Source organism: Homo sapiens, chromosome 2 (assembly GCF_000001405.40).
Source record: "Homo sapiens chromosome 2, GRCh38.p14 Primary Assembly".
Classification (NCBI taxonomy): Eukaryota; Metazoa; Chordata; class Mammalia; order Primates; family Hominidae; genus Homo; species Homo sapiens.
In genome coordinates, this window is record NC_000002.12 from 44,149,980 (window position 1) to 44,173,061 (window position 23,082).

The window sequence follows — 23,082 nt, forward strand, 5'->3', positions numbered from 1 at the left end:
ATGGAACGCAGATCTTAAGAGCAATGAACTAGGATATCTGGCAGGAAAAAATATCTGAACAGCAAAGCATCTGGGCTGCTATGTGTCTACTTTTAGTCACATACAGTGAGATGCAAGAGGAAAGACATTAACTTAAATTTATAATTTTTTTTTGGAGATGGAGTCTCTCTGTCATGCAGGCTGGAGTGCAGCTGCACAATCTCAGCTTACTGCAACCTCTGCCTCCCAGGTTCAGGTGATTCTCCTGCCTCAGCCTCCCAAGCAGCTGGGATTAAAGGCGCATGCCACCAAGTCCAGCTAATTTTTGTATTTTTAGTAGAGATGGGGTTTCGTCAGGTTGGCCAGGCTGGTCTCAAACTCCTGACCTCAAGTGATCCGTTCGCCTCGGCCTCCCAAAGTGCTGGAATTACAGGCGTGAGCCACTGCATGCAGCCAGGAATTTATATTTAAAAGCGAAGCAGAATAGAAAAATTTGGAAAATTTGTAGGCTGGTCATGTAGAGAGTGAAAAGGCATTTTTTAGGAGAGCAAACCAATGCTGTGGCCAAGCAACCATTTGCTAAAGAGCTTACTGTAGATAGAAGGGAGCCAGGTGCTAGTTACCAAAACAGTGGGAAAAATACCCTGAAGGCATCTCAGAGAGTTACAAGGCTGCCCCTTACAGCACAGGCCCAGAGCTGTAGGAGGTTTCAGGGGATAGGCCTGGGACACCTTCCGCAAGCTCCTTCCCACGGCTGCCACAGGTCTCTGATCCCAATAGCCTTCCTCAGCTGCCCCAGCTACGGCTCAAGTGGGCCCAGGTGTGGCTCCACCCACTGCTTCAGAGTCTATAACTGGTAAGCCTTGACAGCATCCACATGCTGCTCATTCAACAGATGCATAGAATGCAAGAGTTATAAGGGCATAGCTTCCTCCACCTAGATTCCAAAGGATGTCATGGACAGTCTGTGGGTCCAGGCAGAGACTTGTCATAGGGCTGAGCCACCGCAGAGTCCCCACTAGAGTAATGCCTAGTGGAGCTGTGGGAGCAGGACCACCAATGAGGCCCCAGAACTGTAGAGCTACAAATGTACAATGCCAGCCTGAGAGAGTCACGAGCACAAGACTTCAACCTGTGAGACCTGCTGAGTGGACTGAGCCCACGAAAGCCACAGGGGTGGGGCTGCCTGAGGTCTTGAGGGCCAACCCACACATCAGTGTGTCCAGAATATGGGACATGAAGTCAAAGGAGATTATTCTTTGAGACTTAATGTTGTTTTTTTCTGATGGGTTTTGTGCTTGCTTAGGACCAGTTAACCCTCCTTTTTTGTCTATTTCTTCCCTCTAGAATGGGAATGTGTATTTATGTGTGTCGCACCATTGTATTTTGGAAAAAGATAATGTTGTGATTTCCCAGGCTCACAGCTGGAGGGAATTTGCCTCAGAATGAATTGTGCCTTGAGTCTCATTCATATCTAATTTATTTCATTTTATTTATTTATTTATTGAGACAGGGTTTCACTCTTGTCACCCAGGTTGCAGTGCAATGGTGCCATCTCAGCTCATTGCAACCTCTACCTCCCGTGCTCAAGCAATTGTCCTGCCTCAGCTCCTGCATACCTGGGACTACAGGTGCACGCCACCACACCCAGCTAATTTTTGTATTTTTCGTAGAGACAGGGTTTCACCATGTTGCCCAGGTTGGTCTCACACTCCTGAGCTCAAGTGATGCACTTGCCTCAGCCTCCCAAAGTGCTGGGATTACAGGTGTAAGCCACCACACCTGGCTTTCATTCACATCTAATTTAGATGAGACTCTTTGGAATTTTGAGTTGATGCTGAAATTAGTTAAGACTTTTGGGACTTTGGTGATAGAATGAAAGTGTTTTGTTTATAAGAAGGACACGAAGTTTGAGGGGCCGGGGGAGTGCTATGGTTTACATGTCTCCTCCAAAACTCATGTTGAAACATTTTCTTCCAATTACCCGGTTTCGGGTACTCATGTTGAAATTTAATTGCCAGTGTAACAGTGTTGAAAGGTGGGAACTTCAACAGGCGTTAGTCCTCATGAGTTGATTAATGCAGATGACAGTAGTGGGCTCGTTATCACAGGAGTTTGGCTCCCTTTCTGTGTCTCATGAACTCTCTTGCCCTTTCACCTTCTGCCAGGGGATAAAATGGCAAGACCCTCCCCAGATGTGGCCTCTCCACCTCAGACTTCCCAGCCTCCAGAACCGTGAGCCAAATAAATCTTTTTTCTTTATAAATCACTCAATGTGGTATTATATTATAGCAACAGACAACAAACTGAGGCTGGGTGTGGTGGCTCACGCCTGTAATCCCAGTACTTCAGGAGGCCGAAGCAGGCGAATCACTTGAGATAAGTAGTTTGAGACCAGCCTGGCCAACATGGTGAAACCCCATCTCTACTGAAAATACAAAAAGTAGCCAGGCATGGTGGCACATGCCTGTAATCCCAGCTACTCGGGAGGCTGAGACAGGAGAATCGCTTGATCTGGGAGGTGGAGCTTGCAGTCAGCAGAGGTTGGACCACTGTACTCCAGCCTGGGCGAAGAGTAAGACTGTCTCAAAAACAACAACAACAACAACAACAAAACAGAGACATCCAGCACTTTTTGTGGATTCCACTTTGTTCCCTGGGAATATTTTCCTTTACCCACTATAAATGAAAGTCCACCAGCCTGGCCAACATGGTGAAACCCTGTCTCTACTAAAAATACAAAAATTAGTTGGGCGTGGTGGCAGGTGCCTGTAGTCTCCATTACTCAGGAGGCTAAGGCGGAAGAATTGCTTGAACCTTGGAGGCAGAGGTTGTAGTCAGCTGAGATCATACCACTGCACTACAGGCTGGGTGACAGTGAGACTCTGTCTCAAAAAACAAAAAAAGAAAAGAAAGTCCAGTTTACACCCAATGTGACCTTGCGAACAGGTGAACCTTTGGCCATTTTTTCTACCTTCATACTTGGCAAGGATCAGACCCAAGTCTTTCTTCCTGAAACTCCAGGGGACAAATTCTGGGAGGTCTCCTTGAGGCACCTTTCCTTTGGCGTGAGGTGAGGAGAGGAGGCAACTTTCTCCCTGCCCGCATGTGAAAGTCAGGGGAGGAGAAAGCACTTTCTAAAGAAATCCTCACTCTCGCTCTTTCTACCTCAACCTCCTCATACTTTGAAGGTCAATGATGGGTTCATGAAAGCCAGAAGTGTGTTTATGATCTTAACAGGTCCAGAGTGACTGTGGGAGTACTAGTCCCCAATGGATTGGTCTCAGCTTTTGGGGCCTGACTAAAACAGAGAGAGAAATGCCATTTGAGCATATGGTTCCATTGGATTTTATCCCAAGTAATCAAAATCATTATGTTTTTAAAAGAAGTAGAAAAATGCAAATAAGATGTCTCCATTTCTTTGAAGTCAAAAATTCAAAGCTAAAAATGCAAACCACAGAGGAAGAGAAGATATTTACAATGCATATTACAAAGAGCTTATGTTCAGAATACATAAAGAATTCCTATAAACCAGTAGAAAAATGGGCAAAATCTTGAATAGGCTCTTCACAAAAGAGGATAGTCAAATGACCAATGAACATAAAAATGTACTCAAACTCATTAGAAATCAGGGAAAAGCCGGGCGCGGTGGCTCATGCCTGTAATCCTAACATTTTGGGAGGCCCAGGCGGGTGGATCACTAGGTCAGGAGATCGAGACTATCCTGGCTAACATGGTGAAACCCCATCTGTACTAAAAATACAAAAAATTAGCCAGGCATGGTGGCGGGCGCCTGTAATCCCAGTTACTCAGGAGGCTGAGGCAGGAGAATGGCATGAACCCGGGAGGCGGAGCTGGCAGTGAGCCGAGATTGCGCCACTGCACTCCAGCCTGGGCGACAGAGCAAGACTCCATCTCAAAATAAATAAATAAATAAATAAATAAATAAATAAATAAATAAATAAATAAATATAAATAAAATAAAATAAAATAAAATAAAATAAACACTGAAGCAGCCGGGCGCGGTGGCTCACGCCTGTAATCCCAGCACTTTGGGAGGCCGAGGCAGGCACATCATGAGGTTAGCAGATCGAGACCATCCTGGCTAACATGCTGAAACCCCGTCTCTACTAAAAATACAAAAATTAGCTGGGCGTGGTGGTGGGCGCCTGTAGTCCCAGCTACTCGGGAGGCTGAGACAGGAGAATGGCGTGAACCTGGGAGGTGGAGCTTGCAGTGAGCCGAGTTCACGGCATTGCACTCCAGCCTAGGCGACAGAGCGAGACTCCGTCTCAAAAAAAAAAAAAAAAAAGAGAAATCAGGGAAAAGCAAGTTTAAATTATACTGAGATATACCATTACACACTCACTAGGATGGCTAAAGTTAAAAGCAGAAAACACCAAGTGTTGATGAGAATATGGAGCAACTGAAATTTTTCTATATCAGAGGAGTGGAAGCATAAATTGATCTAACCACGTTGGAAAACTGCCAGGAGTAGCTATTAAGTCTGAACTTTTGACTTAGCAATTTCATTCCTAGGTACTTACTTAATAGGGCATATATGTGGTGTACTAAAAGATATATTCATGAATGACCATAGCAGTATCATTCATTATAGCCCCAAACTGGAAACAGTTCAAGTATTTATAGATAATAGAATGGATGCATACATCATACTGTATTCATAAAATGGAATACAATGTAGGAATAGAAATTAATGTACTGTTAACCACTTAAATGCAAGCAAATCTCACATGAATAAAAGAAGTTGAACACAAAAGTATCCATAATGCATGATTCCATTTATTTATTTATATATATATTTATTTATTTTTTAATGAATGCTTCATAAATTTGCATGTCATTCTTGCACAGGGGCCATGCTACTCTTCTCTGTATGCATGATTCCATTTATATAAAGTTTGTAAACAGGCAAATCTATGATATTAAAAATCAAGAAGGTGATTTCCTTTGGGGAAGAAGGAGAGAATAGCTATTGGGAGGGGGCAGAAGGGGAGTTCTGGGGTGCCAGTCATGACCAATTTCATGCCTTGTTGGTGGTTACATGGTGTGTACACTTTGTGATAATTCATTGAGCTTTATACACTTATGATTTGTGCACTTTTTGGTATCCATTTTATACTTCAATAGAAAAAAATAGTTTCTAAAGGGAAAACAAAAACCAGAACCATCTTAAAACCCCTGCTATAAGAAGACAAAGATGAAATATGAGTACAGAAACAACACTGGTTTTGAGTCGGTGTTGTATCCTTGTTAGATTAATGACATTAAACTTGATCAGTGTCACTGATCACTTGATCATACTTGATGTCGCTGAGCCTCAGTTTCTTCATTTATGAAATAGGAATGATATCACAATACTTTCTTAGAGGACTATTGTGAAGGTCAAATGAGAGAATGTGTACAAATGTGCTTTGAAAACTAAAATATTTGTTTATGAGTAGTCATGCCAAAAAAATCTAAAACAAACATCACATATAATAATACATATATTAAATGACAAAAAATTCAAGGCCATTTTTCCTTCACAATTTGTTCTCTCAAGAAATCATCTATCCCAAGCACAGCTGCTTTTTTTTTTGTTTTGAGACAGGATCTCTCTGTGTCACCTAGGCTGGAGTGTGGTGGCACTATCAGAGCTTACTGCAACTTCCACCTCCCGAGCTCAAGTGATCCTCCCACCTTAGCCTTCCGAGTAGCTGGGACTGTAAATGTGCACCACCACATCTGGCTAATTTTTTATTTTTTTAGAGGTAGGATCTCCCAGTCTTGCCTAGGCTGGTCTCGAACTTCTGGGCTCAAGCTATCCTCTCGCATTGGCTTTCCAAAGGGCCGGGATTACAGGCATGAGCCACCACACTCAGCCCTCACAGCTGCATTTTTAAAAAGAAAAGAAATAATCTAACATCCAATTAAGAATCAGGTAACAAAGGCCTCCCATACTATTTAATCCTCATGAGTCACCAACAGATGTACTGTATAGCCATGCAGATATGTGAGTCTACAGATAAATTTAGAAACTTTTCATGGCCATGAAATAGTGGCATCTTGATACAACTGACTTGTCTCAGTGGACAAGTGTAGGAAGCCTTTTTCTTACTTTTAATCTGGATGTCTCAGTTACAACTATTTTGGTTGCAAATAACGGAAATCAACTCAAGCTAATTTAAGCAAAGAAAGAATGTGGAGATATCTCACAAAACTCAAGGGCTTCTGGAATCAGAAACTCTCAGCCTTGGAGAATCCAGGCAGAGCTGGCTCCTTTCTCTCAGCCCTACCCCTTTAAGTCTCTCTGCTTCATTCTTCTCTCACAACTAACTGGCTCTCTCTCCTTCCCTGGGCACAGAATGGGGAAAGGTGGCCTGAAAGCTCTCTGAGTTGACAGCATTTCCTCTCAAAAGACAAGCTTAGCCTGATGGACATTTTCTTGGTCTCAAATCAAATTTCCCAGGGGAAAAAAAAAATAGTTTGGTCTGACTTAGGAAGAGTGACCACTGTGGTCTGGTCAAATGACCAGACCTCCAGTGTCATTTAGTACCAATGTGTCTGTAGGAGACCCATCCCACTGGGCAGTGGGTAAAATTTTCAGAGGAAGGGGGTTATTATCTGGGAATACACCCACAAAAGTTTTTTCTCCAGACTTTAACTGTAGTAGTTGCATCGATCAAGTTGCCTGGCTTCTGTGTCTTTTCTGTACTTTGAGGGTTGTTTCCACAACCCTTAAAGCCTATCAGATGGCAAAGGCCTTGCTATCCAGGTGATGGCTGATTGGGCCAGGGATTAATATGTAACCCATTATAGGCCAATTATATTTTTTCTGCCAGAAATTTGGAAATGGGATGTAAAGGCTGGGTCAGTTACCCATGGGTCTTGGGTAAGGTAGAAAGTGGATGCTGGAGTAGCCATGCTGATACACATACAGAGGAGAGAAACCAGCCTCCGTCTATGCGTGAGGCAGAAGCAGCTGGACAGAGAAATGGAGAGAAGAGAGACTATGTCAGCTTTTAGAAAAAGAGACTGGTTTCTGACCTCCCAGTTCCCAGTTGCAGAGACATGCAGTCTTAATTACCAACCTGTAGTTGGGTTCTATGAAATCCTCCTGTCTGTTTATTACAGATGCCTATGTAGCTAAACCAACTTAATTAGATTTATGCTCACTGTAACCAGAGGATCTGAATTAATTTGAAAACATCAATGCCTAGTGAGGGTCCTTTTTTTTTTTTAGATGGAGCCTCGCTCTGTCGCCCAGGCTGGTGTACAGTGGTGCAATCTCGGCTCACTGCAACCTCCACCTCCCTGGTTCAAGCAATTCCCCTGCCTCAGCCTCCCTGGGATTACAGGTGCACGTCACCATGCCTGGCTAATTTTTTTGTATTTTTAGCAGAGACGGGGTTTCACCATGTTGGCCAGACTGGTCTCGAACTCCTGACCTCAGGCAATCCACCCGCCCGCCTTAGCCTCCCAAAGTGCTGGGATTACAGGCATGAGCCACCGTATCTGGCCTAGTGAGAGTCCTTTCTACCCCACACAGAAATGAAGTCATTTGCTTTGAGCTCTAGCCATAGTTGTACAAAAGCAATTGCTCTTTCTGGATTTTCCCCATAAATAATCAACAAGATATGAATGGGTGCCTACCATGTTTAGCATAAAAAGCCATAACAGAAGTATGATACATGGTCCTAGCCTCTGGGACTACAGTCTAGTTGAGAAGAGACTACATAACATACCTAATACAATTAGAGACTAGCACAAAACAGTATATAATTAAGTATAAAATTGCACAGCACAAAAACATTACTACTGTAGCTCAGGAAAGAGAGAGGAGATCCTGTAATCTGTTGTGATCAGCAGAGATGATAGAGGAGGGAGAGAGGGGGCTATAGTGAGCAAACTAGCAGGATTGCAGAAGGTGGTTCAGGTTGTTAATTGGTAGGAAATTTGCTTAAAAATATTTCTCTTATGTCTGATTACTAGCTTCCAGTTGGTGTTGAGTTCTGTTGAAGTGTTGGGAAATTATAAGACACATTGCTTTAATTTAAGTTGTTCTTTTCTATAATCTTATAGCATTTTCTATCCAATATACTTTCACTCACTTCAGCTTGAGATACAGAGATTAGGTTTCCTGGGGCCATTCAGCTGTTTGTCCCCATTGAGAAAGTATTTTGCAAAAAATCTAGCAATCATGTCTAATACTTTATGTTGGTTATTCTATATTGTCCTGAATGATGGTGATTAATAGCAAACAAACCATAATACAGTTGCCCAAATATGAACAAATGTGCATATTCATGTAGCAACTGAAATTCACAAAAGTGCTTAACTTTATAATATAATCACCCCACAGTAAGTAAATAAAAGTAACACTGCAAAGTTATCGTAAAAGAAAATTGTTTCAGTGGTTGTATGTAATCTTCTAAAGCACACAAAGAAACATGTCCAGGAGAAAGTAACAAAAATATAAATACATGCTTTTATGACTTATGAAATTATTATAATTATAAAATTGACCTATAAAATTATGAACAATGACCTTTATTTGGTGTATATCCTTGCTATAAATTGTATGATTTGGTATTACAAAATCACCAAAATAGTTGTCCTTCGTGGATAGACATAACTATGATAGAGTTTGAAAATTATACTCAATTTATTGTTTTTTTTTTTTCGAGACAGACTCTTGCTCTGTCGCCCAGGCTGGAGTGCAGTGGCATGATATTGGCTCACTGCAACCTCCGCCTCCCAGGTTCAAGCGATTCTCATGCCTCAGCCTCACAAGTAGCTGGGATTACAGGTGTGCACCACCATGCCCAGCTAATTTTTTGTAGTTTTAGTGGAGACAGGGTTTCACCATGTTGGCTAGGCCGGTCTCGGCCTCCTGACCTCAGGCAATCTGCCCACCTCAGCCTCCCTCCCAAAGTACTGGGATTACAGGCATGAGCCACTGTGCCCATCCCAATTTATTGATAGACAATTGAGTTCCAAAATAATACAATGAAAAACAAGCTTTGGCAGATGGCTTTCTCCCTCTCTATAGCTATTTACTGGGTCAAATTTAACCTTAAGATATAGTGATAAATATAAATCTACGTAGAGAATTTTCTCACCTAGTCTATCCATTTTGCATCGTTTTCTAAATAGTACTCTGAAAATAATCATTTTTTAATTTTTATTTTAAGTTTGGGATACGTGTGAAGGTTTGTTACATAGCTAAACATGTCAAGGGGGTTTGTTGTACATATTATTATATCACCCAAGTATTAAGCCCAGTACTCAATAGTTATCTTTTCTGAAGAATTTTTTTTTTTTTTTTTGTCTTTTTTTAGGCAGAGTCTCACTCTTGTTGCCCAGGCTGGAGTGCAATGGCATGATCTCGGCTCACCGCAACCTCCGCCTCCCACGTTCAAGTGATTCTCCTGCCTCAGCCTCCCGAGTAGCTGGGATTACAGGTGTGCGCCACCATGCCTGGCTAATTTTGTATTTTTAGTAGAGACGGGGTTTCGCCACGTTGGCCAGGCTGGTTTCAAACCCCTGAACTCAGGTAATCCGCCTGCCTTGGCCTCCCAAAGTGCTGGGATTATAGACATGGCCACCACGCCCGGCCAGAATTTTTCTTTTTTTTTTGAGTCAGGATTACGCTTTGTGATTTAGACTAGAGTGCAGTGGTGCAATCATAGCTCACTGTAACCTCAAACTCCCAGACTCAAGCAATCCTCCTGCCTCAGCCCCCAGAGTGGTTGTGACCACAGGTGTGCATCATCATACTTGGCTAATTTTTAAGTTTTCTGTAGAGACTGGGTCTCGTTGTGTGGCCCAGGCTGGTCTCAAACTCCTGGGCTCAAGTGATCCCCCATCCTTGGCCTCCCAAAGGACTAGGATTACAGGCATGAGCCACTATGCCCAGCCTGAAAAGAATTATTCTTTTTTTCTTTTTTTGAGACGGAGTTTCACTCTTGTCGCCCAGGCTGGGGTGCAATGGCACGATCTCAGCTCACTGCAACCTCAGCCTTCCAGATTCAAGCGATTCTCCTGCCTCAGCCTCCCCAGTAGCGGGGATTACAGGCACCCGCTACCATGCCTGGCTAATTTTTGTATTTTTTAGTAAAGATGGGGTTTCACCATGTTGGCCAGGCTAGTCTTGAACTCCTGACTTCAGGTGATCCACCCACCTTGGCTTCCCAAAGTGCTGGGATTATAGGCATGAGCCACCGCACCTGGCCAAGAATTATTCTTTTAATCTTTAATGTCTTATTTTATCTTTCCACTTCAAAGATAATGAGGGCAATTTCAAGGCATTAGCCGGACAATTTTTTTTTTTTTTTTTGAGACGGAGTCTCACTCTGTCACCAGGCTGGAGTGCAGTGGCATGATCTCGGCTCACTGCAACCTCCGCCTCCCGGGTTCAAGCAATTCTCCTGCCTCAGCCTCCTGAGTAGATGGGACTATAGGCGTGTGTCACCATGCCCAGACAATTTTTGTATTTTTAGTAGGAGTGGGGTTTCACCATGTTGGCCAGGGTGGTCTTCATCTGTTGACCTTGTGATCCGCCCACATTGGCCTCCCAAAGTGTTGGGATTATAAGCGTGAGCCACTGTGCCCACCCTAGCTGGACTACTTTATTTTGGTTTTGCCACTAACAGTAATTTTTTTAGTGGAGAGAATGAAAAAGTTGGAAGGAAACATTGATAAAACTGGCTAGATATGGGGAATTATATAGGAGGCTGAATGGGGAAACTGTTATGTCTTGACAGAGGTAATAAACTAGAGTGAGCTTTGGGAAGAGAAATTTTGGTTTAGGGTGTATGTATCAATCAGGATGCTTTTGGTTGCAAGTAACAGAAAATTCAACCAAAAATGCTGGGCACAGTGGCTCACACCTGTAATCCCAGCACTTTGGGAGGCTGAGGTAGGCTGATCACTTGAGGTCAAGAGTTCAAGACCAGCCTGGCCAACATGGTGAACCCCATCTCTACTGAAAATACAAAAATTAGCTAAGCATGGTCCCAGCTACTTGGGAGGCTGAGATAGAAGAATTGCTTGAACCCGGGAGACAGAGGTTGCAGTGAGTGGAGATCGCACCACTGCATTCCAGCCTGGGCGACAGAGGGAGACCCTGTTTAAAAAAAAAAAAAAGAAAACAAAATTCAACCAAAAGAGGCACATAAAATAAGGAAAATTACTATCACGCTTAATGAGAAATTCAAGAGTAGAGTGGTTCCAAGGTTGTTTAATTCAATAGCTTGACAGTATCATCAATGGTGAAGGTCCTTTCCACATTTTCACTCTTTCATGCATAGTGACTTGCTCTTTGTCCTCTAGTTTGGTCCCTTCATGGTCACAAATGGCTGTCATAGCTGCAAGCATCACATCCTTACAAAATAATAATATAGCTAAAATTTGCACAGTAGTTTTGATAAGCAAAAGACTGCTCTAAGTACTTTACATATATTAATTCTTTTGGTCCTCACAGCAACCCTATGAGTTGGTTCTATTATCCTGTTTTACAGATGAGGAAACCAAGGTACAGGGATATTAAATAATTTGCCCAGAGTCACTAGGTAGTGAGTGGCATCACTGAGATATGCTGCAGGAATCTGGGTCCAAGAAAGGAAGAGTGGGTATCTTTTCTCATAGTCCTCATTCTTATGAGGATTATGAGGAACTATTCTTACGAGGATTATGAGGAACTATTCAGGATCCTCCACCTCCAGCATATTCCCTATCAAGTGTCATTAGCCTGACTTGCCTCGCATGCACATTCCTAAACCAATCACCCGAAAGGGGGAATGATATTATCATAGATAGCTTAGACTGAGTAAGATTAATCTCTGGGGCTGGAGAGCAGCTCAGTCTCCCCCAGAGCATACCTCAATTAAGTGAGGCTCTATAGCGGGATACAAGATCGATTTAGGGGGGCTGCCAAGAAGGCAACCAATAGGAGAGAAGTGCCATGGGATGTTGAAATGGACAAATCCAGTAGGTAGCTGAGGACACATCAAGAGGATGGAGCTGGTGCTCCACACTTGGAGCTCAGATGCATTGAGGCAGTAGTTGAAGTCATGAGAATGGGACACATTTCCAAGGAAGATATCAAAATCAGCAGACTAAAAACTGAACCTTAAAAAAATTGGTGGGAGGGATGTTTGAAGCAATAAAACAAAATGTTCAGAATTGTTTAAGCTATGTGATAGGTACACAGGGTATATTATATAATACTACTCTCTAGTTTTGTGTGTGTCTGAAATTTGGAATAAAATGGTTTGAAAAAAACAAATTCAATCCCAGAGGCTTTGCAAACTCTCTCTCAATATGAAGGAGCCCCCTGTCCTTGGTCCCCAACCTCTCGGTAGACTTGTAATTCAACCCTTGTAGAAGGTTTATATCTACCCCCATATTTTGGGACAAGTTCTGGTCCCAGGCGGGGAGACAATAAGAAGCCCTAGTGTGCCCTCTTACTGGCTCATTTTCCAGCCGTTTTTGCTGCTGGTTGGTTCTGGTAACTCAGCTGGGAGTCTCTTGCATCCTCTCCTGTAACCATTTCTATCTGGCCTCAGAGCCTGAACTTTTCAACCCTGATCTCCAATCTTCCTATGCCCAGGTCCTGATAAGTTACCTGCCTCCAGACCAGTTACCTAATTGCGAGGATCTCTGCTTACTTGCCAGAATTAGGCCTCTATGTAAAGGACATTAAATATGGGCCTTAATACAAAACCTTTTTCTTTTTTTTTTTTTTTTTGAGGCGGAGTTTCGCTCTTGTTGCCCAGGCTGGAGTGCAATGGCGCAATCTCGGCTCACTGCATCCTCTGCCTCCCAGGTTCAAGCGATTCTCCTACCTCAGCCTCCTGAGTAGCTGGGGTTATAGGCACCTGCCACCACGCCCAGCTAATTTTTTTGTATTTTTAGTAGAGATGGGGTTTCACTATGTTGGCCAGGCTGGTCTCAAACTCCTCACCTCAGGTGATCCACCCGCCTCAGCCTCCCAAAGTGCTGGGATTACAGGCGTGAGCCACCCGGCCCAATATGAAACCTTTTAAACTAATTGCACTGAAGTCCTGCATGACTCTTTCACCAAGAATTTTCGATTTGCAGGTTTCCTACAACTATATCCCTGCATACTTGTCGAATAATAGACTTGTGATTTTACTCCTATGTTCATCTCCTTGATGTCTGCTCCATGGTGAGTCCGCTGAGATTCCTTTTTTGTTTTTTTGAGATGGAGTCTCGCTCTGTCGTCCAGGCTGGAATGCAGTGGCTCAATCTCGGCTCACTGCAAGCTCCGCCTCCTGGGTTCACGCCATTCTCCTGCCTCAGCCTCCTGAGTAGCTGGAACTGCAGGCGCCCACCACCACAACCAGGTAATTTTTTGTGTTTTTAGTAGAGACGGGGTTTCACCATGTTAGCCAGGATGGTCTTGATCTCCTGACCTTGTGATCCGCCAGCCTCGGCCTACCAAAGGGCTGGGATTACAGGCGTGAGCCACCGCGCCCGGCCGAGCACAGTTTCACTAGCAGGAGAAAAAGAGCTTTCAGACAAGCAAACAGGAAGAGTTGCTGCAGATGTGGAAGGAACATAAGGGAAAAGTAGCGCAATGTTGCCTTTAGGTTTTTGAAGCATGAGCAAACCACCACATTGGATGAGCAAATGGCAATGCTATGATAAAGCAAAGATGAAGAGTTGGCAGAAATGTATACTTTATTGTAAAAAAAAAAATAACAAAATCAATGAATAATGTAAATGAATTTGGGCATAAATGCTAAACTGCTTACACAAATGGCTGTTATTAGAGTTTTCCACAGCCAAGCATATTTAAACATTTAGTAATGTTGCACCATTTATAGTTGGGCTCCATGTGAATAGTTTTCCTGATACCACCCACTGTGTTATAATCATAATCTCAATCATCTTATGTGTATGACACTCACTTTAAAACACAAAGGAGGATCTGGTTCTGAGGAAGCCAGTTTTGGCCTCCTAGGCTGTGGGGATTGCATGTAAGATGGTGATAGCTTGATCAACTTCCTCTCTAAGGAGGAAGCAGGGTTGGGGGACAGGCCCAGGCTTCAGGTCGTAGAACTGAGAAAAGGAAAAATGTCCAGCAAACTACTTGAGATCCTCCAAATGCAATTCAAGAAATACTTATCAAGCATCTATTGTGTATGATTTACAACAAAAGAAACGATGTCCTTGCTGAATTGGAGGTTATAGTCCACAGCAGGGGTACGACCTCCTCCATGCCTTTTTTTGGGCAAAGGGTCCCTTTGGTGAATCCTGTGGATTTCTTCTCAGAATAACATTTAAAAATACATAAAGCTCATTAAGATTATAAAGGAAAACCAATTATAATTAAAGACAGTTATGAAACAAGTACATTTGTGATATGCTTCTTTTTTTTTTTGAGACAGAGTCTCACTCTGTCACCCAGGCCAGAGTGCAATGGCATGGTCTCGGCTCACTGCAACCTCCGACTCCCAGGTTCAGGTGATTCTCCCGCCTCAGCCTCCCGAGTAGCTGGGACTACAGGCACGTGCCTCCACACCTGGCTAATTTTTGTATTTAGTAGAGACGGGGTTTCACTAGGTTGGCCAGGCTGGTCTCAAACTCCTGACCTCGTGATCCACCCGCCTCAGCCTCCCAAAGTGCTGGGATTACAGGCATGAGCCACCACGCCCAGCCTATGCTTCTTTATTAATGCATGAAATAACAAGATCTAGTGATGAGTATAATAATTATAATAATTTCAAAAGAGTGGTGAGTATAAATGACATCTAAAGAGATTGTGATGCTTGGTAAAGACTGGGAATCTCTGCTCTAAGCAACTTGTGACCTCGCAGTTCCCTGATTGTTTGGGCTCCCTTGCAGCTAGGGGTGATCATGTGATTTCCTCACCCAACTTTTTCTACATTACATTTAATATTGTTTTTATTTAAAACTATATATTGGGGAATGATTTGCATTACTAAGAGACTCTAAAACTCTTCATGTGGCTCTGGAGAAAGATGTTACGATTCCCATTTTGCAGAACAAACCAAGGCTCAGATAGCTTAGTTACTAGCTCAAGTCACACAGCTAGTTCGTAGCAGAGCACATTATGATGGTACTCAGGGTTTATGACACATTATGTTTATGATGGTAAACAGCAGTTTTCAAAGTTGTGACTCTTGTTGGGCTTTCTTTAATGGTTTAGTATTTTAAGCAAATAAAGCATACAACAAAGTTAACCTTCAAATCTGTTCTGGGGTGTCTCCATACTTTTTTTTTTTTTGCTCTTGGTGATTGAAAGTATGAATGATATGGAATTATCAGCCCACCTAAATGACTGAGCTTTGTATTTGTTTTTGGGTCAACCAAGGGAAGGTGAGAAGGAAGTCAAGCAAGCCAAGAAACTGTTCTCATGCCTTTCTGTAGTTGCTTGTATTCACAGGACAAGGGTCCCTAAATGTCTTCAGTTTTTTATCCTTAGCATGGTTCCCATTTTAGAAGCTGAGGTCTCAGACTCCCTTCTGCTTACATAAGGGGTGTCAGGCAATGGAGTGTGATTAAAGAAAATTTAATTTTTTTATAAGTCACTTCAATAATACTTCCTGCGGACTGTATGATCTCACGCTGATAATAAAGGGGACAGTGGAAATGTGAGATATACATATGTTCTCCCAACATGCAAAAGTGAGGAAATTAATTTACTTTACATCTGCCTCCATTATCCTGTGCCAGAGGGTCTCAAACATTGATGCGCATAAAAATCATCTGCAGGTCAGGTGCGGTGGCTCACGCCTGTAATCCCAGCACTTTGGGAGGCTGAGGCGGGAGGATCACTTGAGGTCAGGAGTTTGTGACCAGCCTGACCAACATGGTGAAACCCCGTCTCTACTAAAAATACAAAAATTAGCCAGGCGTGGTGGTGGGTGCCTGCAATCCCAGCTACTCGGGAGGCTGAGGCAGGAGAATCACTTGAACCTGGGAGGCGGAGGTTGCACTGAACCGAGATTGCACTACTGCACTCCAGCCTGGGCGTCAGAGTGAGACTCCGTCTCAAAAAAAAAAAAAAAAAAATCATCTGGGGAGCTATTTTAAAATTCACCTTTCTGAGCCTTGTCCCCAGAGTCCCTGATTTGTAGGCATGAGTGGACCTGGGAATCTCTATCCCAGAATCCCAGATGATTCGGATGCTGGTGGTCTATTCACCATGCTGTAAGAAACACCATTCTCACACAAACTTGATGAGTAGGTTTTAAAAATCTGAATTGCAGAGGCGGAGCCGCCACCCTGCCGCGACTTTCAGTCTCCGACCATGGCCTCACGCTGGTGGCGGTGTGCCCGGCTCCCCCGGCCTTGCAGGGCCTCCAGGGCCGCGCGCCGCTGCCGGCGCCCGCGCTCAGGCTCATAGGCGGAAGGGATTCGGCTTGTCTCAGATACCCTATTTTAGTCTTGTGAAGCGCTTAACATCTGCCTGTCCAAATGTATACAGTATATCACGGTTTTATCACACAACCCCGGACAGTAAAACACACAGTGGTGAGAAATATACAGATCACCGATCCTTTCAAATTCGGTTGCAGAGACTTGAAAGGTCTGTATGAGGACATTAGAAAGGAACTGCTCATATCAACAACAGAACTTCAGGAAATGTCTGAGTACTACTTTGATGGAAAAGGAAAAGCCTTTCGACCAATTATTGGGGTGCTAATGGCCCGAGCATGTAATATCCATCATAACAACTCCCGATCCGATGTCCAATTTTCACAAGCTGATTGCTGAGAAGGTTCTAGGCGGCGTCTGTTAAAAAGCATTGCTGTCTGTTAATTTGACATGTGCAAGCCAGCCACCGCGCCATAGCCTTAATTGCAGAAATGATCCACACTGCTAGTCTGGTTCACGATGACGTTATTGACGATACAAGTTCTCGAAGAGGAAAACACACAGTTAATAAGATCTGGGGTGAAAAGAAGATACGGTTTTTTGGTTTTTTAAAATCTCTCTTACCGAATCACATGCTTTTTGGACCGCGTTTGCTTTTTCAGATTTGTCTTATTAAAAAGTAAAATATGCTTGCTCAAAAAACAAAAAAACCCGAATTGCAATTAAGTCTTTGTTTCTGCCGTCCTTATGACGGCCTGGACAATTGTCCTATTACTAAATTTGCCCTTTTCTATAAAACATTGACAGCCCCTAACCTGAATAGCACTCTGTTGGGTCTAAGCTTAAATTGTCTGCCCAAACCATTTTACACCAAAGTAGGAAATAGGTTTAAGTTCTTTTAGGACATTCGGATTAAAAAAAAAATATATATATATATATATATCCTAAGGTAAGTATTAGAATACCTCTATTACACTTTTGTTTCTCGTTTGGAGAATTAACATGGCAGCATCGTCTAATTTGATAGCTGGAGGAGTCATGTCCACTTTCCCCATCGGCCTGTTAAACCCCTATCATTCATTCTTGACTCATCCTGTGTCTTTGTGAAGCCTTTCTTGGTAAACCTATGCACAAGGAAGACCCTTTATGTCGTCACCAGCCCTTGTGCATGTTTCAATTGTAGTACCTATCATCTTGTACTGCGATTGCCTAATTTATTTTTGTATCTCCAGTTCTACATACAGTACCTGGCAAACAGTAGGCGCTCAATAACTGCGAAATGAACAAGTCCATGTCAAGAGACTAGGCTGGGAGTTTTAATATCAATGCCGACTGAGAAACAAAATACGGAAATGTCAAGGGCTGGTATAAAAATAATCTCTAATAGCACAAAATCCTCCTGAAGGGAACACCTGTCCCACTTTCTCACGTTGCTTTCCAGGTTCTTCCGACACCCCAATTTCCCGCCCACTCTTCTCCCTCCGGGGTACAGGTCAGGCAGGTATCCCAGCTCGGCGGCTCTGATAGGTCGGCGATGATTTCATTGTTAGGGAACATCCGGGCCTTTCCCCTCCCCGCAACACCTCCCCAGAGCCCGGCCTTCCCAGTTTCCCACTCTCGCCTGCGCCCCACCCGCGGCTGAAGCAAAACAACCGCCTCTCCCCTGCCCACTTCTTGTCCTCGTCTGAGTCGTCCCTTCCCGTCTCCACGCCGAAGAGAGGCGTTTAGATCCTCCAATGAGGGCCTAGGAGGACTTTCTTAGCCAATCAGTAGCCAAGCCCCTGCAATTCCGGGTGGGACCAGGCGTCCACACCTATAGCTGGACTGCTCGTTGGTCCCTTATGGCGCTTCTTTTACGCGAGGCTTAGAGGTCAAATACAAGGGGGCACGGTCCTCACAGAACGGAAAGGATCCGTACAGACTCTCCGGGTTTGACCGTTTTCTAGGACGAACCAATCGCTTTCCAGATACTTCCCCGCCTTTTGCGCGTTCATTTGAAAAAAGCCGGTGTGACGGACTTGGAAATTGGCTCAGTGACTGACCCGCAAGAAAGCCAGTGACTGGGGGTTCGGATCACGAGTTGGACCAATAAGAAAAGACAATCGCTGGGGCCGGGGCTTTGCTAGGAGGAGCGCAGGTGGGCGTTATTTGATTGACGGAGGGCTCTACTTATGGCTGGTAGCGGGGGCTGGTCCCTGACGTTCGGGAGGTAGGACCTAGCGGAGGCGGGGCCGAATAAAGTAAATGGTAATAAAGGGTTGGGTCTCACTTAGTGGGCGGTGTTTGATGGACAGCTGACCTTGCCTATTGAAAGTAGCCACTGATGCCCAATGGGAAATTAGAAACCCAGAGGCGGGGCCGGGTGGGCGGGGTAAACGAAGTACGGAGGTGCCGAGGGAGCAGCACGGGGAGGGGGAGCGGTGATTGACAAGACTCCCAGCAAACCGGGGGCCGTGAGAGGGCGCGCGGCATCCCAGTGGGTGGCAGCTGGAGGCGGGGCACCCTGAGGGGCGGGGAAGGACTAGGGTGCGGGGAGGGGGTTGCAAAAGGAGCCGAGCGGCTTCTGCTCAATGGCGGAAAAGCCGCCGGTGCTCTGACGGCCTCGTTCCCCTAGCAGTTGCGGGGGAGTTTCCTGCCGGCGCGGCTGGAGTCTCTGATTCTCAGGGTTCGGTGGTTGGAAGATGCTCCAGAGAGACGAGGCTGCGGCGGAGGAGGTGGCGGCGGCCGAATCGGCAACGGCGCTAGGGTGGAGAGAAGGCGGCATCGGCGGCGGCGGCGGCGTGAGGGGCCGGGCGGTGTAAACAGCCCCGGAGGCGGCGGTCGAGACCCCGAGGGGGAAGCGGCGGCTGAGTCAGGGTCGCGCCTCCGTTGGAAACTTGGGCTGAGTACCGCGGCGGGCGCGAGCGAGGCGCCCTAGACATCTTCTCCCTCCCTTGCCTCAGGTAAGGCCGCCCGGCACCCCGCCGGAGGGGAAGCGGCTGACCGGCCGCGCCGCCGAGGCCCCGGGCCCTGGGCAGGTTTTCGCGGTGCTGCCGAGCCGCGGCCGGGGCCTCTGTCCTTCCGAATCCTCGCTGCTTTCCCTGCTGCCGCGGAGCCTAGGCAGGGGAACGCCGGGCCTGGCTCTCGGGTATAGGCCCCTTCCCCGGCCGCCGCCTCCGCTGGGCTGAGGTCTGGGAGAGGCGCAGGGAGAGAATGGGAGTTTGCTGGAACGCCTGGAAGCTGACTGATTCTCTCTTCCCTCCGCTTCAGTCTGCAAGCATCTCTTTCACACGAAAGCACTGGGGCTACCCCAAGCCTTGGCGCTTCTCTTCCTGGTGCATGCCCTGTTTGAAAACACTATCTTTTACCATTCGTTTCCTCATCAGCTTCTGCCCTACTCTGCGCTCCACTTCACTTCCTTGTTAAATCGTCTTTCTCTGCTGTCTATGCGTTCTACCCTCGCCTTCCCTCCTTAGTGGCTTTAAATTGTGTGTTTCTCTTTTCTTCGTACCCCGGCATCTCTTGCCTGTCTTCCCTAGCACCATCCTTTTCGGATGTCATTCCTAACAGTGAAGTTCTTAATTGAAACTGCCACTTATTGTCAGTACCCCAAATCTACCGGAGCCCCATTAAGAGTATAGACTGACTAGCCATATGTGGTAAATCAGTTTTTCATAGTTTAAGCCTAACAACCTTGAAAAAATTGTATTATTAAACGTAAAGTGTGAAAATAACACCGAAAATAATTTTTTAAATGAAGGACTCAGTGAGTGTTGGAAATAGTTATTTCTTCATTTTTTAAACTTGCATGACCTCTCATATCAGATTTAGCAGATCTGGGACGTTTGCCCATCTTATTCGGCAAAAAAAGTGCTTCTTAGGCGTTTGATAGCAGCCCAAATTCATCAATATTCAATTTCTTCTAAGAACAACTTGAAAACTTTTTTAAAAAGAGACGTTAATAACTGGGAAGTTGTTTTGATAGTCACAGTTAAAGAGCTTTTAAAATAGGCTCCACATGTTTAATGTATCAAAATAAAGTTGGCAGGCATGTTGTAAAAGGATTATTTAGGAATTTGAGTAGTCTTAGTGTTATGTAGCTATTTTAGGAAAAACATTCTTTTTCTGTTAACAAACGTTTACAACTACGGTGATGTGAGAATTACTGAGGCTTACTGTGGGATTAACACAGGAACTGTCTTTATTTGAGCTACTGCATGGATGAAGAAGTGGTAAATTGTTCAGAGTAGACAGTGTAAGTCACAGTATGTTCTAGGAGATGGAGAAACATGCCATGGACGCTGAATGTTAATAGATGTTATTTCATTTACTTTCTCTGTTGTGCAATAGCAAAGTTCCTATTGTTGGCCTACTTTTAAATGGGGCATTTCTAAGTAAATAGTGAGACAAGTTATTCTAATTATTATGATAGTCTTTTCCAAGTGTACAGGCCTTTTAAAAATATAGTTGAAGTAATGGTAATTTTTTAAGGAAATGTTTTTGTAGGTCTGCCAAATGGACAGTGTGTTGTTCTAATCGAAATTTTAAAATTAAGTATTTAGAACAGAATATTTTAGTCCACACATTTTCAGGGATAATCTTTATTTTGTGCTTCTTCTCTCAATGCCTTCTTTGTCTTTTTTTTTGTCTTAATGGTTGTTGTGTTTTCGCCTCTTCATTTGTTTTTGCTCTCATGAAGTCTTACAACAGTTTCTGCAGTGGTTCTTTTTGTTGCTGTATATTAGCACGAGTATTTTTATTTGAGCTTTCATACTGTAAGATTTCCCCAGTTTCTAGTACATTATCCTCTGGATTTGTTGAAGTGATTGTTCTCTTTGAAGTGACCAGCAGAGCTTTCAACACCGTTTTCTTACACTGGGTGTCTGATTTCTGTGAAGACTCTAGGAATAGGTGAAAGGCCTTTCAATTTAGTCATGTCAGTAAATACTGTTTTATGTTAGTAATTCACCTAATTACTAAATTCCTTAAGATTACATCATCTGAAGGAATAGTGTAGTGTCCAAGTAACTGTGCTTCTAAGAACAGCTGATTCACAGGTTGACAGGGTCAGAAAAAGTGGCTCTTGTTGAAAGTTATCTTTTCTATAACAAACATTTTTTATGGAATCTTTTGAATTAAAATATGATGCTGATTATGTCTTGGCAGTCTTGGAAGCTTAGAATTGGCCACGGTATCACTTAGTGATTGTGGTGATTCATTAAAAAGAGGCTATATAGGCCAGGTGCGGTGGCTCATGCCTGTAATCTCAGCACTTTGGGAGGCTGAGGCGTGTGGATCACTTGAGGTTAGGAGTTCATGACCAGCCTGGCCAACATGGTGAAACACCATCTCTACTGAAAATACAAAAATTAGCCAGGTGCGGTGGCGCGTGCTTGTAATCCCAGCTACTCAGGAGGATGAGGCAGGAGAATCACTTGGACTCACGAGGTGGAGGTTGCAGTGAGCCGAGATTGTGCCACTGCACTCTAGCCTGGGTGCCAGAGTAAGACTCTGTCTCAAAAAAAAAAAAAAAAAAAAAAAGCTGTATTTCATGAATATTTTTATATGTAACTATTTTAAAGTATTTTGTGACATTACCTAGCATAGAAAGTAGTTAAGTAGTATAATTCTAACTCTCGCTTTTAAAAATGCAACATACAGTATTTTATATTTTCTGTGAAATATGCCTTTCACAATTCACTGATTTTAGTAAAAATTAGCAAACAAATAACTGGTGGCATCAGAATAATAAAAGTTTGTTTAATCCAAAATTATAATAGCAAAATTTATTCAAGTAATAGCATAAAATGTGAAATCATGATTATGGTAAGATAATTTTCAGGAGTATGATATTCCTGAATTTTCAGTTATTCTTCACACTGTACCTGATTTCTTTTTGTTTTTCCCTTGCTGAATTAATTTCAGAATTGGAATGAAATGGAATACTGCTATTATATTAGCAGCTTTAAAGTTTTATTGTAAAATGTATCGTATATTAGCAGAATTGATGGTTAAGTGTACTGACATTTCACTATGCTATACTCAAACATTGATGGTGAAATAGAGTTTTGGGAACTATTTAATTTTTGTAGTTTGTAGTTGGCTGTCATAAAATTTGCAGAATGACAGAACTGATCATCAGCTTCTAGTGGCTGATCTAACAAGAACAGGTGAAGAAAAAGGTACATGAGCTTCATAATGTGTATTTTTTCTTTGTTTTTGTTGGTGTTTACTTACATCAATACATTGAGTTAAAAAAATGGGTTTTCATCTTTTGGATTAATTTAAGTATGCTAAAGCCATTTTAGAATCTTTACAAGTAAAATGTTTCTAGGCCGGGCACAGTGGCTCACTCCTGTCCCAACATTTTGGGAGGCTGAGGCAGATGGATTGTTTGAGACCAGCCTGGGCAACATAGCAAGACCCTGTCTCTACAAAAAATAAAGTTAGCTGGGCTTGGTGGTGTGTGCACCTGTAGTTAGCTGCTTGGGAGGCTGAGGTGGGAGGATCGCTTGAGCCAGGGAGGTCAAAGCTGCAGCGAGCTGTGATTGCACCAGTTTGCTCCAGCCTGGATGACAGAGTGAAACCACGCCTCTATTTTTTAAAAAATTCTGATGTGACTTAATCTCTTTGTGTCCATTTGATTTGAGATGATTGACACTTTTGAACATTTCCATCCATATTCCTTTTCTTAAAGACTACCTAGAAGACTAACAAGCGTGGCCAGGCGTGGTGGCTCACGCCCATAAT

The 23,082-nt window shown here is 43.7% G+C and overlaps 1 protein-coding gene, 1 long non-coding RNA gene and 2 pseudogenes across 9 annotated transcripts in view, besides 2 other annotated features; 2 read left to right on the plus strand and 2 right to left on the minus strand.

Annotated features, from left to right (window-relative positions):
• On the minus strand, nucleotides 4,810-4,916 carry RNU6-566P (RNA, U6 small nuclear 566, pseudogene; annotated as a pseudogene).
• Nucleotides 11,205-18,813, minus strand: PPM1B-DT (PPM1B divergent transcript). 3 transcript variants are annotated; one of them, XR_940034.3, is made up of 2 exons: nucleotides 17,319-18,813; nucleotides 11,205-11,367 (listed from the first exon to the last, which is right to left on the minus strand). It is a non-coding gene; the product is annotated as a PPM1B divergent transcript (long non-coding RNA). The 3 variants fall into 3 exon arrangements; XR_940035.3 differs by lacking the exon at nucleotides 11,205-11,367 and adding an exon at nucleotides 16,613-16,896; XR_940036.3 differs by lacking the exon at nucleotides 11,205-11,367 and adding an exon at nucleotides 16,613-16,927.
• Nucleotides 16,310-16,719, plus strand: PDSS1P2 (decaprenyl diphosphate synthase subunit 1 pseudogene 2; annotated as a pseudogene).
• Nucleotides 18,597-18,926: a silencer, noted in NCBI's record as "silent region_11430". NCBI's record gives its function as "represses an Ori minimal core promoter by ATAC-STARR-seq in GM12878 lymphoblastoid cells {active_cell/tissue: GM12878}" and the evidence as "EXISTENCE:reporter gene assay evidence [ECO:0000049][PMID:35858748]".
• The window catches only part of PPM1B (protein phosphatase, Mg2+/Mn2+ dependent 1B), a 78,054-nt gene continuing 73,867 nt past the window's right edge, over nucleotides 18,896-23,082 (plus strand). For all 6 annotated transcript variants that reach the window (XM_011532936.4, NM_177968.4, NM_001033557.3 and 3 more), the window contains exon 1: nucleotides 18,896-19,295. The gene's annotated coding sequence lies outside the window, so the exon portion shown is untranslated. The remainder of the gene's footprint in view (nucleotides 19,296-23,082) is intronic.
• Nucleotides 19,247-19,456: a silencer, noted in NCBI's record as "silent region_11431". NCBI's record gives its function as "represses an Ori minimal core promoter by ATAC-STARR-seq in GM12878 lymphoblastoid cells {active_cell/tissue: GM12878}" and the evidence as "EXISTENCE:reporter gene assay evidence [ECO:0000049][PMID:35858748]".